Genomic DNA, 12,613 nt, shown 5'->3' with positions numbered 1-12,613 from the left:
CCAGCCTGGCCAACATGGTGAAACCCCTTCTCTACTAAAAATACAAAAATTAATCAGGCATGGTGGTGGGTGCCTGTAATCCCCGCACTTGGGAGGCTGAGGCAGGAGAATCACTTGAACCCGGGAGGCAGAGGTTGCAGTGAGCCGAGATTGCACCACTACACTCCAGCCTGGATGACAGAGCAAGACTCCTTCTCAAAAAAAAGAAAAAAATTAGCTGGGCATGGTGACGTGAACCTGAAGTCCCAGCTAACTGAGAGGCTAAGGTAGGATGATCACTTGAGCCCAGAAGGTGAAGCCTGCAATGAGCTCACAAGATGAGACCCTGTCTAAGAAAAAGAAAAAGAAAAACATTCTTAAAAATTAGCTGGGCAAGGGCACGGTGGCTCACGCCTGTAATCCCAGCACTTTGGGAGGCTGAGGTGGGCGGATCACGAGGTCAGGAGATCAAGACCATCCTGGCTAACACAGTGAAACCCCGTCTCTAATAAAAATACAAAAAATTAGCTGGGCATGGTGGCGGGCACCTGTAGTCCCAGCTACTCGGGAGGCTGAGGCAGGAGAATGGCATGAACCCGGGAGGCGGAGCTTGCAGTGAGCCAAGATTGCACCACTGCACTCCAGCCTGGGTGACAGAGCGAGACTCCATCTCAAAAAAAAAAAAAAAAAAATTAGCTGTGCATGTGGCTCACACCTATAGTTCCAACTATTCTGGAGGCTATGGCAGGAGGATTGCTTGAGTCCAGAAAGTCAAGGCTGCAGTGAGCTGTGATCACGCCACTGCACTCCAGCCTAGGTGACAGAGAGAGACCCTGTCTTAAAACAAAACAAAATCATTGTTTTTTGTTTTCTTAAGACAATCTCGCTCTGTCACCCAAACTGGAATGCAGTGGCATGATCTCAGCTCACTGCAACCTCCACCTCCGGGGCTCAAGCAATTCTCGTGCCTCAGCCCTACAAGTAGCTGGGATTGCAAGCGTGTGCCACCACGCCTGGCTAATTTTTCTATTTTTAGTAGAGACAGGGTTTCGCCATGTTGGCCAGGCTGGTCTCAAACTCCTGACCTCAAACAATCTGCCTATCTTGGCCTACCAAAGTGCTGGGATTACAGGGGTGAGCCGCCACACCTGGCCAAAATCATTGTTAATATTACTATAATATGTATAATATAGTAACTATCTTTTTTTTTTTTTGAGACAGAGTCTCACTCTGTCGCCCAGGCTGGAGTGCAGTGGCATGATCTTGGCTCACTGCAAGCTCCGCCTCCCGGGTTCAAGCGATTCTCCTGCCTCAGCGTCCTGAGTAGCTGGGACTATAGGCGCCCGCCATCACGCACGGCTAATGTTTTTGTATTTTTAGTAGAGATGGGGTTTCACTGTGGTAGCCAGGATGGTCTCGATCTCCTGACCTCGTGATCCACCCGCCTTGGCCTCCCAAAGTGCTGGGATTACAGGTGTGAGCCACCACGCCCGGCCTATTCTAATATTAATATATTACTATTATTTGCTGTTATCTCTCCCTCTCTCTTTCTGGAGCTGTATCCACTCATTGAGTGACATCTTCCCTCGGGGTATCTAACAGCCACCTCAAATTTAACATATATAAAACCTAACTGCTGATGTACCCCAACCCCCAAACTGACTCTGCCTAGTCTTTGCCATGCCAGGAAAGAGCAAACTCTACCCGTTCCGTTGCTCAGTCACTTTCTCTCTCACCCAGCGTCCAATCTGTCAACAAATTCTGCTGGTTCTGCTCTCAGAATATATCCAGAATCTCACCACTTCTCTCCACTCTGCTATCCCGACCTTGTTCCAGCCACTCTCCTCTTCAACACGGACACAGGGGCTTCCTCCATGGGCTTCCCACCCTCTCCTACCCCATTAGCCTCTTCCTCCCAGGGGAATCCTGTGAACACCTACGTCAGAGCTCATTCTTCCCAAGCTCAGAATCCTCCCATGGTGCCATCTCTGACAGAGTGGAAGCTTGAGTCCTCACCGTGGTGCAGGGACCTACAGGACATAGCTCTTGTTCCCTCTGTGACCTTGTCTCCCTATCTCCCCTTATTCCTTCTTTGCTCCAACCACATGAGTCTTGTTTCTCTGAAATGTCAGGCACACTCCAACTCAGGGCCTTTGCACTGGCTGTTCCCTTGGCCTGGAATTGCTCCTCCCTCAAATGTCCCTCTGGCTCACTCCCTAATTTCTGCTCATGTATCGTCTTACAAGAGAGGCCTTCCCATCCCACCTATGTTAAATAGCAAGTCTCAGGCCGGGTGCAGTGGCTCATGCCTGTAATCCCAGCACTTTGGGAGGCCATGGTGGGTGCATCACCTGAGATCAGGAGTTCACAACCAGCCTGGCTAACATAGTGAAACCCTGTCTCTACTAAAAATACAACAATTAGCCAGGTGTGGTGACAGGCACCTGTAATACCAGCTACTTGGGAGGCTGAGGCAAGAGAATCGTTTGAACCCGGGAGGCAGAGATTGCAGGGAGCTGAGACCACGCCATTGCACTCCAGCCTGGACAACAAGAACGAAACTCCATCTCAAAAAAAAAAAAAAGCAAAATAGCAAGTGCCAAACGCCTGCTCTCTCACTGCCTTTTCTGATCACTTTCCAGCATGCAGCATCATTTACTTATTATTGGGCACCACACTGGCTTATCAGCTCCATGAGGGCAGAGACCTTATTCACTACTCTGTCCCCAGCCCCCAGCACAATGCGGGGCCCATTCTAGGCAATCAGAAGACATTGGCTTAGAAAAGGAAAGCAACTTTGGAGGTAACGTGTGGGGCAACAGAGACAGGCTTGTGTCACAATCTGGCTCGTCTCTTAATTAGCCCTGAGTTCTTAGTCAACAGAGCTTTCGAATGGGCAAAATGGAAAACCAAGCTGGCACCTCCCAGTGATGTTGGCAAGATAAGATTCACACCAAGCACCCAGCACAGTGCCTGGAGGGCTGTAGGCCCTCAGTAAAATATTCCCTCTATCCCTGAAATCCCCAGGGGGTTTGGAGCTGCACATAGCCTAGAACCAGGCATCCAGCCTTCCATGCCCAGACTCTCTCCCACCTCAGCATACGCCACTTGCACTCAGGTATGTGCAGGGAGAAGTGACGGCAGAGGGCTGACGTGGAGGGAGGAACACGTACCATAGAGCACTTGTGAGAGTCGGAGGGAGTGTGGCTATGCATCCCAGAGAAAAGGCCCAGTCGTGGTGCAAATCATCTGCTTAGGAGGGCAAAGTCACAGGATGACTGCTAGGAAGACACTTCACCTGAGAGGTCCACGCATAACACAGAGGAGTCCTAAAGAATCTTAGCTCCTTTCTGCTCATGCAGGTGGAACTCCAAGCCCTCAGGACTCCCTCTCTCAGGGCAGCAAATCTCACACTCCTTAGCTTTCTAGTTGGTATATTCTGCATTATCCCTAGCAGAAATTGGCTATTGTTTTTGTTTTTTGAGACGGAGTTTCGCTCTTGTTGCCCAGGCTGGGGTACAGTGGTGCAATCTCGGCTCACTGCAACCTCCACCTCCCGGGTTCAAGCGATTCTCCTGCCTCAGCCTCCTAAGTAGCTGGGATTATAGGCATTCGCCACCACGCCCAGCCAATTTTTGTACTTTTATTTATTTATTTTTATTTTTATTTATTTATTTTTTGAGACAGAGTCTTGCTCTGTCGCCTAGGCTGGAGTACAGTGGCATAATCTTGGCTCACTGCAAACTCTGCCTCCAGGTTCAAGCAATTCTCCTGCCTCAGCCTCCCGAGTAGCTGAGATTACAGGCGCCCACCACCATGCCCAACTAATTTTTGTATTTTTAGTAGACACAGGGTTTCACCATGTGGATCAGGCTGATCTCGAACTCCTGACCTCGTGATCCGCCTGCCTTGGCCTCTCAAAGTGCTGGGATTACAGGCATGAGTGAGGTGGACTGTTGACCCTTTTGATTTGTGGTTACAGATGCTTGGAAAAGCCTCACCCTTCCTGCTGTGAGGTACAGGTAGTCATGTGGCATCACCTCTAAACGTGTGCTGGGACAGCTTTCAGCTATGTCGACCTAATTTAAGGGGTCCTTCCTTGGGAGGTGGAAGAGCCTGGTGGTCAGGCACATAGGTCTGAGAGTCAATTGACAGCTCTCATGCAACAGCTAAACCATGTCTATGACCTTTTGTTTTCTCATCTGCAAATGGGGATTACGGGTTACTGACCTCATATGATTGCTGGAGAGACCAAATGAAACCACAGCAGTATGCTATGCAAACTGTCCAGCATGTGCTGCTCAGTTCATATAAATGCAAGTCCACGATCATATCCTGGAGGGTAGGTGCTACTAATAGCTCATAAAGGCAAAACTCACGTGAGGTCAAGGTAACCCCTGGAAATCCCTTAAATTGCCCACAAAGTATGAAGATACCATGTTAAACCTGGGCAATACAGCGAAAACCTGTCTCTACAAAAATACCAAAAAAAAATAGCCGGGCCTGGTGGCGTGCATCTGTAGTCCCAGCTACTTAGGAGGCTGAGGTGGGAGGATCACTTGACCCCAGGAGGTTGAAGCTACAGTGCGCCAAGATCACATCACTGCACTCCAGCCTGAGTGACGAAGCAAGAGCATCTCCGAAAAAAAAGAAAAAGAAAATACAGTGTTATTCCTGGCCCATAATGGAGACTCACACACCCTCTGGGTCCCACACATCGTCCTCCGCTGAGCACCTGATGAAGAAACCAGCTTGCACTTTGGAGCCGGGATGTGCAGAAAAGATACATTGTTTAACACACCCAGCAAGATGCCTATGCTGCTGAGGCTGATGGAGAGGACAGAGATCTCCAGCTCCCACCTGGGAGGAATCAGGGATTTTGTTTGCCTAGGTGCATGCCAGGTAAAGCAGCTCTCATGATGCTTTCGGTTTTGACTGTGACTCTAATGGATTAGAGAAAGCTCACTGGGCTGGGCGCGGTGGCTCACGCCTGTAATCCCAGCACTTTGGGAGGCGGGCGGATCACGAGGTCAGGAGATCAAGACTATCCTGGCTACCACGGTGAAACCCCGTCTCTACTAAAAATACAAAAAATTAGCCAGGCGAGGTGGTGGGCACCTGTAGTCCCAGCTACTCGGGAGGCTGAGGCGAGAGAATGGCGTGAACCCGGTGGGCAGAGCCTGCAGTGAGCCGAGATTGCACCACTGCACTCCAGCCTGGGCAACAGAGCGAGATTCCGTCTCAGAGAAAAAAAAAAAAAAAAAAAGAAAGCTCATTGTGCTAGGGTCTCATTTCATTCTCAGCCCTGTCTGGTTTGAACCCTTCTATTGGGGCCCAGAATAAAATCTGTGCCTGGGCTAGGCATGGTGGCTCACACCTATAATCCCAACACTTTGGGAGGCCAAGGTGGGAGGATCACTTGAGCTCCAGAATTCAAGACCAGCCTGGGCAACATGGTGAAACCTCATCTCTACCAAAATTACAAAAATTAGCTGGGTGAGGTGGTACACGTCTGTAGTTCCAGCTACTCGGGAGGCTGAAGTGGGGGGATCGCCTGAGCCCAGGAAGTTGGGGCTTCAGTGAGCAATGATTCCATCACTTCACTCCAGCCTGTGTCACAGAAAAAGAGACACCCTGTCTCAAAAAAAAAAAGAAAAAGGCCAAGTGCAGTGGCTCATGACTGTAATCCCAGCACTTTGGGAGTCAAGGTGGGCGGACCACTTGAGGTCAGGAGTTTGAAACCAGCCTGGCCAACATGGTGAAACCTTGTCTCCTCCAAAGATAGAAAAAAATTAGCCAGGCATGGTGGCGCGTGCCTGTAATCCCAGCTACTTGGGAGGCTGAGACATGCAAATCACTTGAACCCGGGATATAGAGGTTGCAGTGAGCCAAGATCACACCACTGCACACTAGCCTGGGCAACAGTGAGACTCTGTCCCCTCAAAAAGCAAAACAAAACAACAACAAAAAGCCGTAGCTGGGACCAAGGCAGCCTGTTTTCCCTCCTGAGCCAAACTGGGGTTTCCCTGAGGAAGATCTAGGGAAGGGTCAAATTCCACTGCCCACGTCTGCCCTCAGCGCGTCCCTTCTGGGAAACAAGAGCTGTTTATTGGTATTTATTATGCTTCTGTTGGGGCATACCCTTCCCCCTTCCCCCTTCCCCCTTTAAGAGGGGCAGCCAGGAACAAAGCCACCCCAGCTTGGAAGTGGCACCATCATAAGGGCAATTATCCAAGTTATCCAGCATGCGGGGCTGGGTCAGAGTTGAGACCTAGCCCTGCTGGGACATGTGCAGACGCGCTCAGACACCTGGGTTTTCCCCATACTTTTTATTTGTTAATTTCATCACCCCCCTCTTCTTCTGATGTGGTCCCCACCACCTCTGACATGCACGCATTGGCTAGGGCCTCTCACACTGAGGCTCCACGCGAAGGGAAGATGCAAAGTCCAGTCCCTCCAGGAGCTAGTGATGGAAGTCTTGGGAAAGGAGAGTCCCAAGTTCAAGAAGACAGCTAGGGTAGAAGGGAGGGAGGTCCTCAAGGGGTAGAGGACAGGAGTCCAAGGAGGTGGCTCAGGTGCGGGGTGGCGCCTCAGGAGAGCCCAGAAATCTTCCAGGCAGCACTGTCTGGAACAGGGCTGTGCACTGACGGTACCGGCATTTTCATCCCCAACCTCAGTGGCCCCCATGCCCACCTGGGGTGGGATCTCAGGCAGAGGTTTTGTCCCCTCTGAGGCTCCCCCACAACACGCCTCTGTTGTTCCAGCTTTGCTGTGTGACCCTGGTCCCCGGTGAGGTAACACCACCACTGAGCTTTATCCCTGCAGCCTGGGGGTCCTATTCACCTCTGGGCTGTCTCAGGGTGCCATCTGTCTCTTTCCAGCTGCTTCCCTCGCCAGCGCTATCAATCCCCCCATTCAATTTCTGCTGTTGAAATATTCAGTGTTTCTGTATCCCTAGTTGGACCTGAGTGAAGAGATGTCTGAAGGGCATCTCATGTCAAGAACCAGACTCTGATCTTCCTCACAAGCCTCAGTCTGCCCCATTCAATTAACGATCCCCTCAGCCACCCACAGTTCAGGCCACAAAGCTAGGGGTCATCGTGGTTTTGTCTCCTCCCTCACCCTGACATCCACACCATCATTTATATTCTTCCATACACATCCCACATCTGAGCCAGACTCCCTCATTGCCAGCACCCTACTCCAGCCCACCATCCCTGCTGCCCCTCTTGTCCCTCCGGTCCATTCTCCACAGCACAACTGAGTGACCTCTTAAATTTTTTTTTTTTTTTTGAGGTGGAGTCTCGCTCTGTCACCCAGGTTGGAGTGCAGTGACGCAATCTGAGCTCACTGCAACCTCCGCCTCCTGGGTTCAAGCGATTCTTCTGCCTCAGCCTCCCGAGTAGCTCGGACTACAAGTGTGTGCCACCATGCCCAGCTAATTTTTGTATTTTTAGTAGACATGGGGTTTCACCATATTGGCCAGGCTGGTCACGAACTCTTGACCTTGTGATCAGCCCACCTTGGCCTCTCAAAGTGCTAGGATTATAGGCATGAGCCACCGCACCCGACCCTCTTAAATTCTTAAATAGGTACATCGGATCCTGTCACTCCCCTTCATCAAACCATCCAACAGCTTCCCATTGCCCTGAGAATAAAACCCAAAACCCTATGTGGGGCCCACAAGGCCCTGGGTGATCCAGCCCCTGACTATCCCCAGCCTCATCTCCTCACACTTGATCTGGGTCACACTTACCAGTTTTCTGGTCCTTCCAATAAAACAAGCCTGCTCCCACCCCAGGGCCTCTGCCTTTGCTTCCCAAAGCTCTTCCCGTAGCTGGTTCTTCTCAGGCGTTCTCAGTCTAGCTTCTTTGAATGCCCAGCTGACTTCACCCCATCGTCCCTCACTGCCACATCCTCTGGAGGCCTCACAGTGCTTCTCCCTCTCTGAAGCCATCTTACTTGTGTGTGCACATGTGCATGTGTTCATGTGTGTATGCGTGTGGGGTGTGTGCATGTGCACTGATTGTCTCCCTTCACCAGAACCTAAGTCCCATGAGATCAGGGAACCTCGTCTCTTGGTTCCTGCTTTGCCCCACGCCTATGACAGTGCCTGACAGAGTAGGTACTCGATAAATAGCTGCTGAATGCAGAACAAAGGAGGCCCCATCTGGGCAACCCTGGGGGAAGGGGGCCAGTGGTCTCCAAGTAGACAGTGTCCAGGGGCCCCCAGGTGGAGGGACCCCAAGTCCAGGGCGGCCCTATCAGGTGACCCAGCTGCTGTGGATGAGAACCCTGGGCATGTCAGAGGGACATGCTGGTGAGGTTGTCCTGGCTCAACAGTCCCTTCCGGCCCGCACCAGTCCCATGCCCACTGCCCCCAGCACCCCCACCACCCCCACAGTACTCGTGCAGCCTGTGCCGCAGTGTGACGAGGGCTGACCCCAGGCAGGCGCCGTTGGGTGCATGGGGCCCGCCAGGCAGCTGGAGCAGCAGTGTGGCCACGCCAGCCATGCCATCTTCTGTGGGCTCGAGAGTGATGGGCCCAGCTCGCAGCCCAGCAGTGGTGGCGGGGATGGCTGGTGGGCAGCAGCCCCCTCCCATGGGTCCCCAGGGCCCACCGGCCCCTGTCAGCAGCAGGGGTGCCAGGAAGGGCTCAGAGCGGCGGAAGGCGGGAGGTGGGAGCCCAGCCGGCTTCCAGGCGGAGGCCGGGGCAGTAGGGTCAGGTGGGAAGCAGACGGTGACCTTGGCGAAGGGGCGGCTGGCCATCTTGGTCATCTCCTGCAAGTGCCGGCGCTGCTCCTGCCGCTGGTCCAGAGCCTGCTTGGCCTTCCAGAGGAGCACACAGAGTGAGAGGAAGAGGAAGAAGCAGGAGAAGAAGACGGAGAAGAAGACAAACAGGTCAATGTGGGCCTGGTCCTGCCGGAAGAAGAGCAGGCCCTGCGAGTCGGCTGAGCCGTTGGCGCCGGGCCCACTTGGGTCTCCCACGCCCAGCAGCAGCAGGTAGAAGCGGCTCGACTTGAGGGCATGGTGCTCGTGTGGGTAGGTGATGACCAGCCGGTCCCGCACGCCGCGGACCACCAGCACTGCCGACGGCTCCGTCACCGTCACGTAGGTAATCAGGCCCCGCGGCCATACCTCCCGTACCCGTGGCTCTGCTGGGGCGCCCGGCCCACTGCTGGCCCCTGCTCCTCCTGGATCCCCAGCCCCCCGGGGCCCACCATCTGCAGGGGGTGGTGGAGGTGGTGGGGCTGGGGGTGGCTGGATGTGTACAGTATGGACGCCAGTGTCAGGGGCCACACGGACCACGAAGGTGTCATAGGAGGTGGAGACATAGAGGTCCACGGCCCCGAAGGTCACGTCCAGCGTCAGGCGGATGTCCACGTTGGTGAATTTGGGCTGCACGCCAAAGAGGACAGTGCGGCCGGGGCCTAGCGCCCGGCGTTTGGGCTCATGGAAGCAGTTGGTCTGGGACGTGGGGTCCAGGCAGCACTCCTGCTCCACCGAGATGAGGCGGTAGCACTGCTGGCCGCCCAGCGGACTCCCGTGAAATGATTCCCGGCACTTGGCGCACTGCGGGCAGGGTTAGAGGCGGTGACCATCAGGGCTGAGTGCGGTGCCAGCCTGTCCCCCAAGCAGCAGTGACGAATACTCTATACCCACTGCTAAGTAGCCATTGCCCTGGGCCTCACCCCCACTGCCCCAGTCACTTCCCTGTGACCCCCCGGACCTTCTCTGCCACAGTGTAGACCTTGCCAGGACCTGGCACTCCAGCACTGCTGCCCCTGGTGCCACCCTAGTGACCTGAGCACCCTGATACTGAGGCCTCTGGCACTCTGAGGCACAGCAGTGAAGAACGCGGCTGCATTCTGGCTCTACCTCCTTGTTAGCTGTGTGGCCTTGGACTAGTGACTTAACCTCACTGAGCCTGAGCACACAGACTTAACCCATGAGCTCTGCACACAGGGAGTAACCACGGCTCGCTCACAGGACCACTGAGATCATGTGCATGGCACTCGGCGCAGGGTCAGCCAGCCTCGCCTGCCTGCCTGGATGCTTCTTCTATACTGTGCCAGGCGCCCTCCCACCCTGGGGCCTTTGCACTGGCGGACCCTCTGCCTGCATGGTTCTCCTGTCACTTGTCAGCTTGTCAAGCCCCCTTGCCTCCTTCAGATCTTTGCTCAAGAGCCTCCTTCTCACCTAGGCCTTCCCTGGCCACTGTGTCCTGCGTCTACCATTCCCACTCCCCAACAGCCCTAGCCCCCGCTTCCTACTTAACTTTCCTTAGCGCTCCTCGCTGTCTAACACACGAGCATCTGACTTGTTTGTTCATTTCTGATGCCTCCATGAGAATGCAAACTCCTAAAGACAGAACATTTGCCTGCTTTGTTCCCTACTGTGTCCCCAGCAACCTGCACGGTGCTTGCCATATACTAGGTGCTCAATGACTGTGTGCTGAATGAATGTGTGGCTGGATAGATAACGGCTATGATTCCTGTGGCTTAGTGGAAACCACTCAAGTTCTGAGATCAGACCAGGGTCACTCCAGGCACCAAGCCTAACTGACCACCTGATCTGGGGTGAGACTTTTTTTTTTTTTTTTTTTTTTGAGACAGAGTCTCGCTCTGTTGCCCAGGCTGGAGTGCAGTGGTGTGATATCGGCTCACTGCAACCTCTGCCTCCCGGGTTCAAGCGATTCTCCTGCCTCAGCCTCCCGAGTAGTTGGGATTACAGGTGTCCGCCACCACACCCAACTAATTTTTGTATTTTTAGTAGAGAAGGGGTTTCACCATGTTGGCCAGGCTGGTCTCGAACTCCTGACCTTAAGTGATCTGCCCGCCTCAGCCTCTCAAAGTGCTGGCATGAGCCACTGTGCCCAGCTAGGACATTTAATGTCTCTGAATCTGTCTTCCTCTTAAGTCTGTACCCCACTGAGGCCCCAGCACAGTCTTGCAAAGCCTTTCATATCTATGCTGTCACCACTGTCTACACAGCACAGCATCCAGCTCTGTGGCAGGCGCTCCTGGCATTCTAGTTATTACTGCAATCACTATTAGAACCAAGAGAAAACAGACGCAGTGACTCATGCCTGTAATCCCAGTGCTTCAGGAGGCTGAGGCAGGAGTGCCGCTTGAGCCCAGGAGTTCGAGACCAGTCTGGGCAACATAGTAAGACCCCCGTCTTTAAAATTTTTTTAAAATTAGCCAGGCATGGTGGTGTGTGCCTATAGTTACAGTTACTCAGGAGGCTGAGGCAGGAGGATCACTTGAGCTCAGGAGTTCAAGGCTGCAGTGAACTATGATTGCGCCATTATACTCTAGCCTGGGTGACAGAGTAAGCCCTGTATCAAAAAAAAAAAAAAAAAAAAAAAAACCCAAAAGCCCAACCAGGCACGGTGGCTCACGCCTAGAATCCCAACACTTTGAGAAGCCAAGGTGAGTGGATTGCTTGAGCTCAGGAGTTCAAGACTAGCCTGGGCAACATGGTTAAAACCCCATCTCTAAAAAAAAAATTAGCCAGGTATGATAGCACATGCTTGTAGTCTCAGCTACTCAGGAGGCTGAGGTGGGAGGATGATGGAAACCAGGGAGGCAGAGGTTGCAATGAGCTGAGATTGCACCACTGCACTCTAGCCTGGGTGAAAGAGCCAGACCCTGTCTTAAAAATAAATACATTAAAAAAAAGAACCGGCCGGGGGTGGTGGCTCACGCCTGTGATCCCAGCACTCTGGAAGGCCAAGGTGGGCAGATCACAAGGTTAAGAGATCAAGACCATCCTGGCCAACATGGTGAAACCCTGTCTCTACTAAAAATACAAAAATTAGCGGGGGGTGGTGGTACGTGCCTGTAGTCCCAGCTACTCGGGGGGCTGAGGCAGGAGAATCGCTTGAACCTGGGAGGCGGAGGTTGCAGTGAGCCAAGATCACGCCACTGCACTCCAGCTTGGCGACAGAGTGAGACTCCGTCTCAAAAAAAAAAAGGAACCAAGAAAAACTGCTACTTCTAAGCAGCCAACAGACCTGGTAGAGGAGGAGGTCTGATTTAATCTCTGAGACTCCCTGGTAAAAGCCAATAGGCCTTTCCCTTATCAAGAAAGCAGAAACTCTGGGCTGGGTGTGGTGGCTCACGCCTGTAATCCCAGCACTTTGGGGGGCCAAGGCAGGTGGATTGCCTGAGCTCAGAAGTTTGAGACTAGCCTGGGCAACATGGTGAAACCCCATCTCTACTAAAATACAGAAAATTAGCCAGGCATGGTGGCACACGCCTGTAGTCCCAGCTACTCAGGAAGCTGAGGCAGGATAATCACTTGAACCCAGGAGGTGGAGGCTGCCTCGAGCAAAGATCCCACCACTGCACTCCAGCCTGGGCAACAGAGCAATACTCTGTGTCCAAAAAAAATTAAATTAAATTAAAAATTAAAAAAAAAATAAAAAAGCAGAAATTCTGGCCCAGGATAGAAATGTTAAGGGTCAGTAAGGCTTGTAAAACTGTTGCCATTTGGGGTGGCAGCTATTATGTTTGCAGCTATTATGTTTCTGTAGATGGGTAAGGAAGACTGAGAGCAAGGGACTTTCTCTTCCCTCTGGGACTGGAGAGAGAAGGTGGCGGGGAGGTGGCGGGAGTTGTCCTCTGAG

The 12,613-nt window shown here is 52.9% G+C and overlaps 1 protein-coding gene across 2 annotated transcripts in view; it reads right to left on the bottom strand.

The window, feature by feature from the left end:
- MEGF8 (multiple EGF like domains 8) overlaps positions 6,294-12,613 on the bottom strand; it is a 53,131-nt gene continuing 46,811 nt past the window's right edge. For both annotated transcript variants that reach the window (NM_001271938.2, NM_001410.3), the window contains one exon: positions 6,294-9,552. In NM_001271938.2, the coding sequence (NP_001258867.1) occupies positions 8,284-9,552 (1,269 nt within the window). In that variant the 3' untranslated portion in view covers positions 6,294-8,283. The remainder of the gene's footprint in view (positions 9,553-12,613) is intronic.

Source organism: Homo sapiens, chromosome 19 (assembly GCF_000001405.40).
Source record: "Homo sapiens chromosome 19, GRCh38.p14 Primary Assembly".
Lineage (NCBI taxonomy): Eukaryota > Metazoa > Chordata > Mammalia > Primates > Hominidae > Homo > Homo sapiens.
This window is presented reverse-complemented; position numbering and strand designations above follow the sequence as displayed.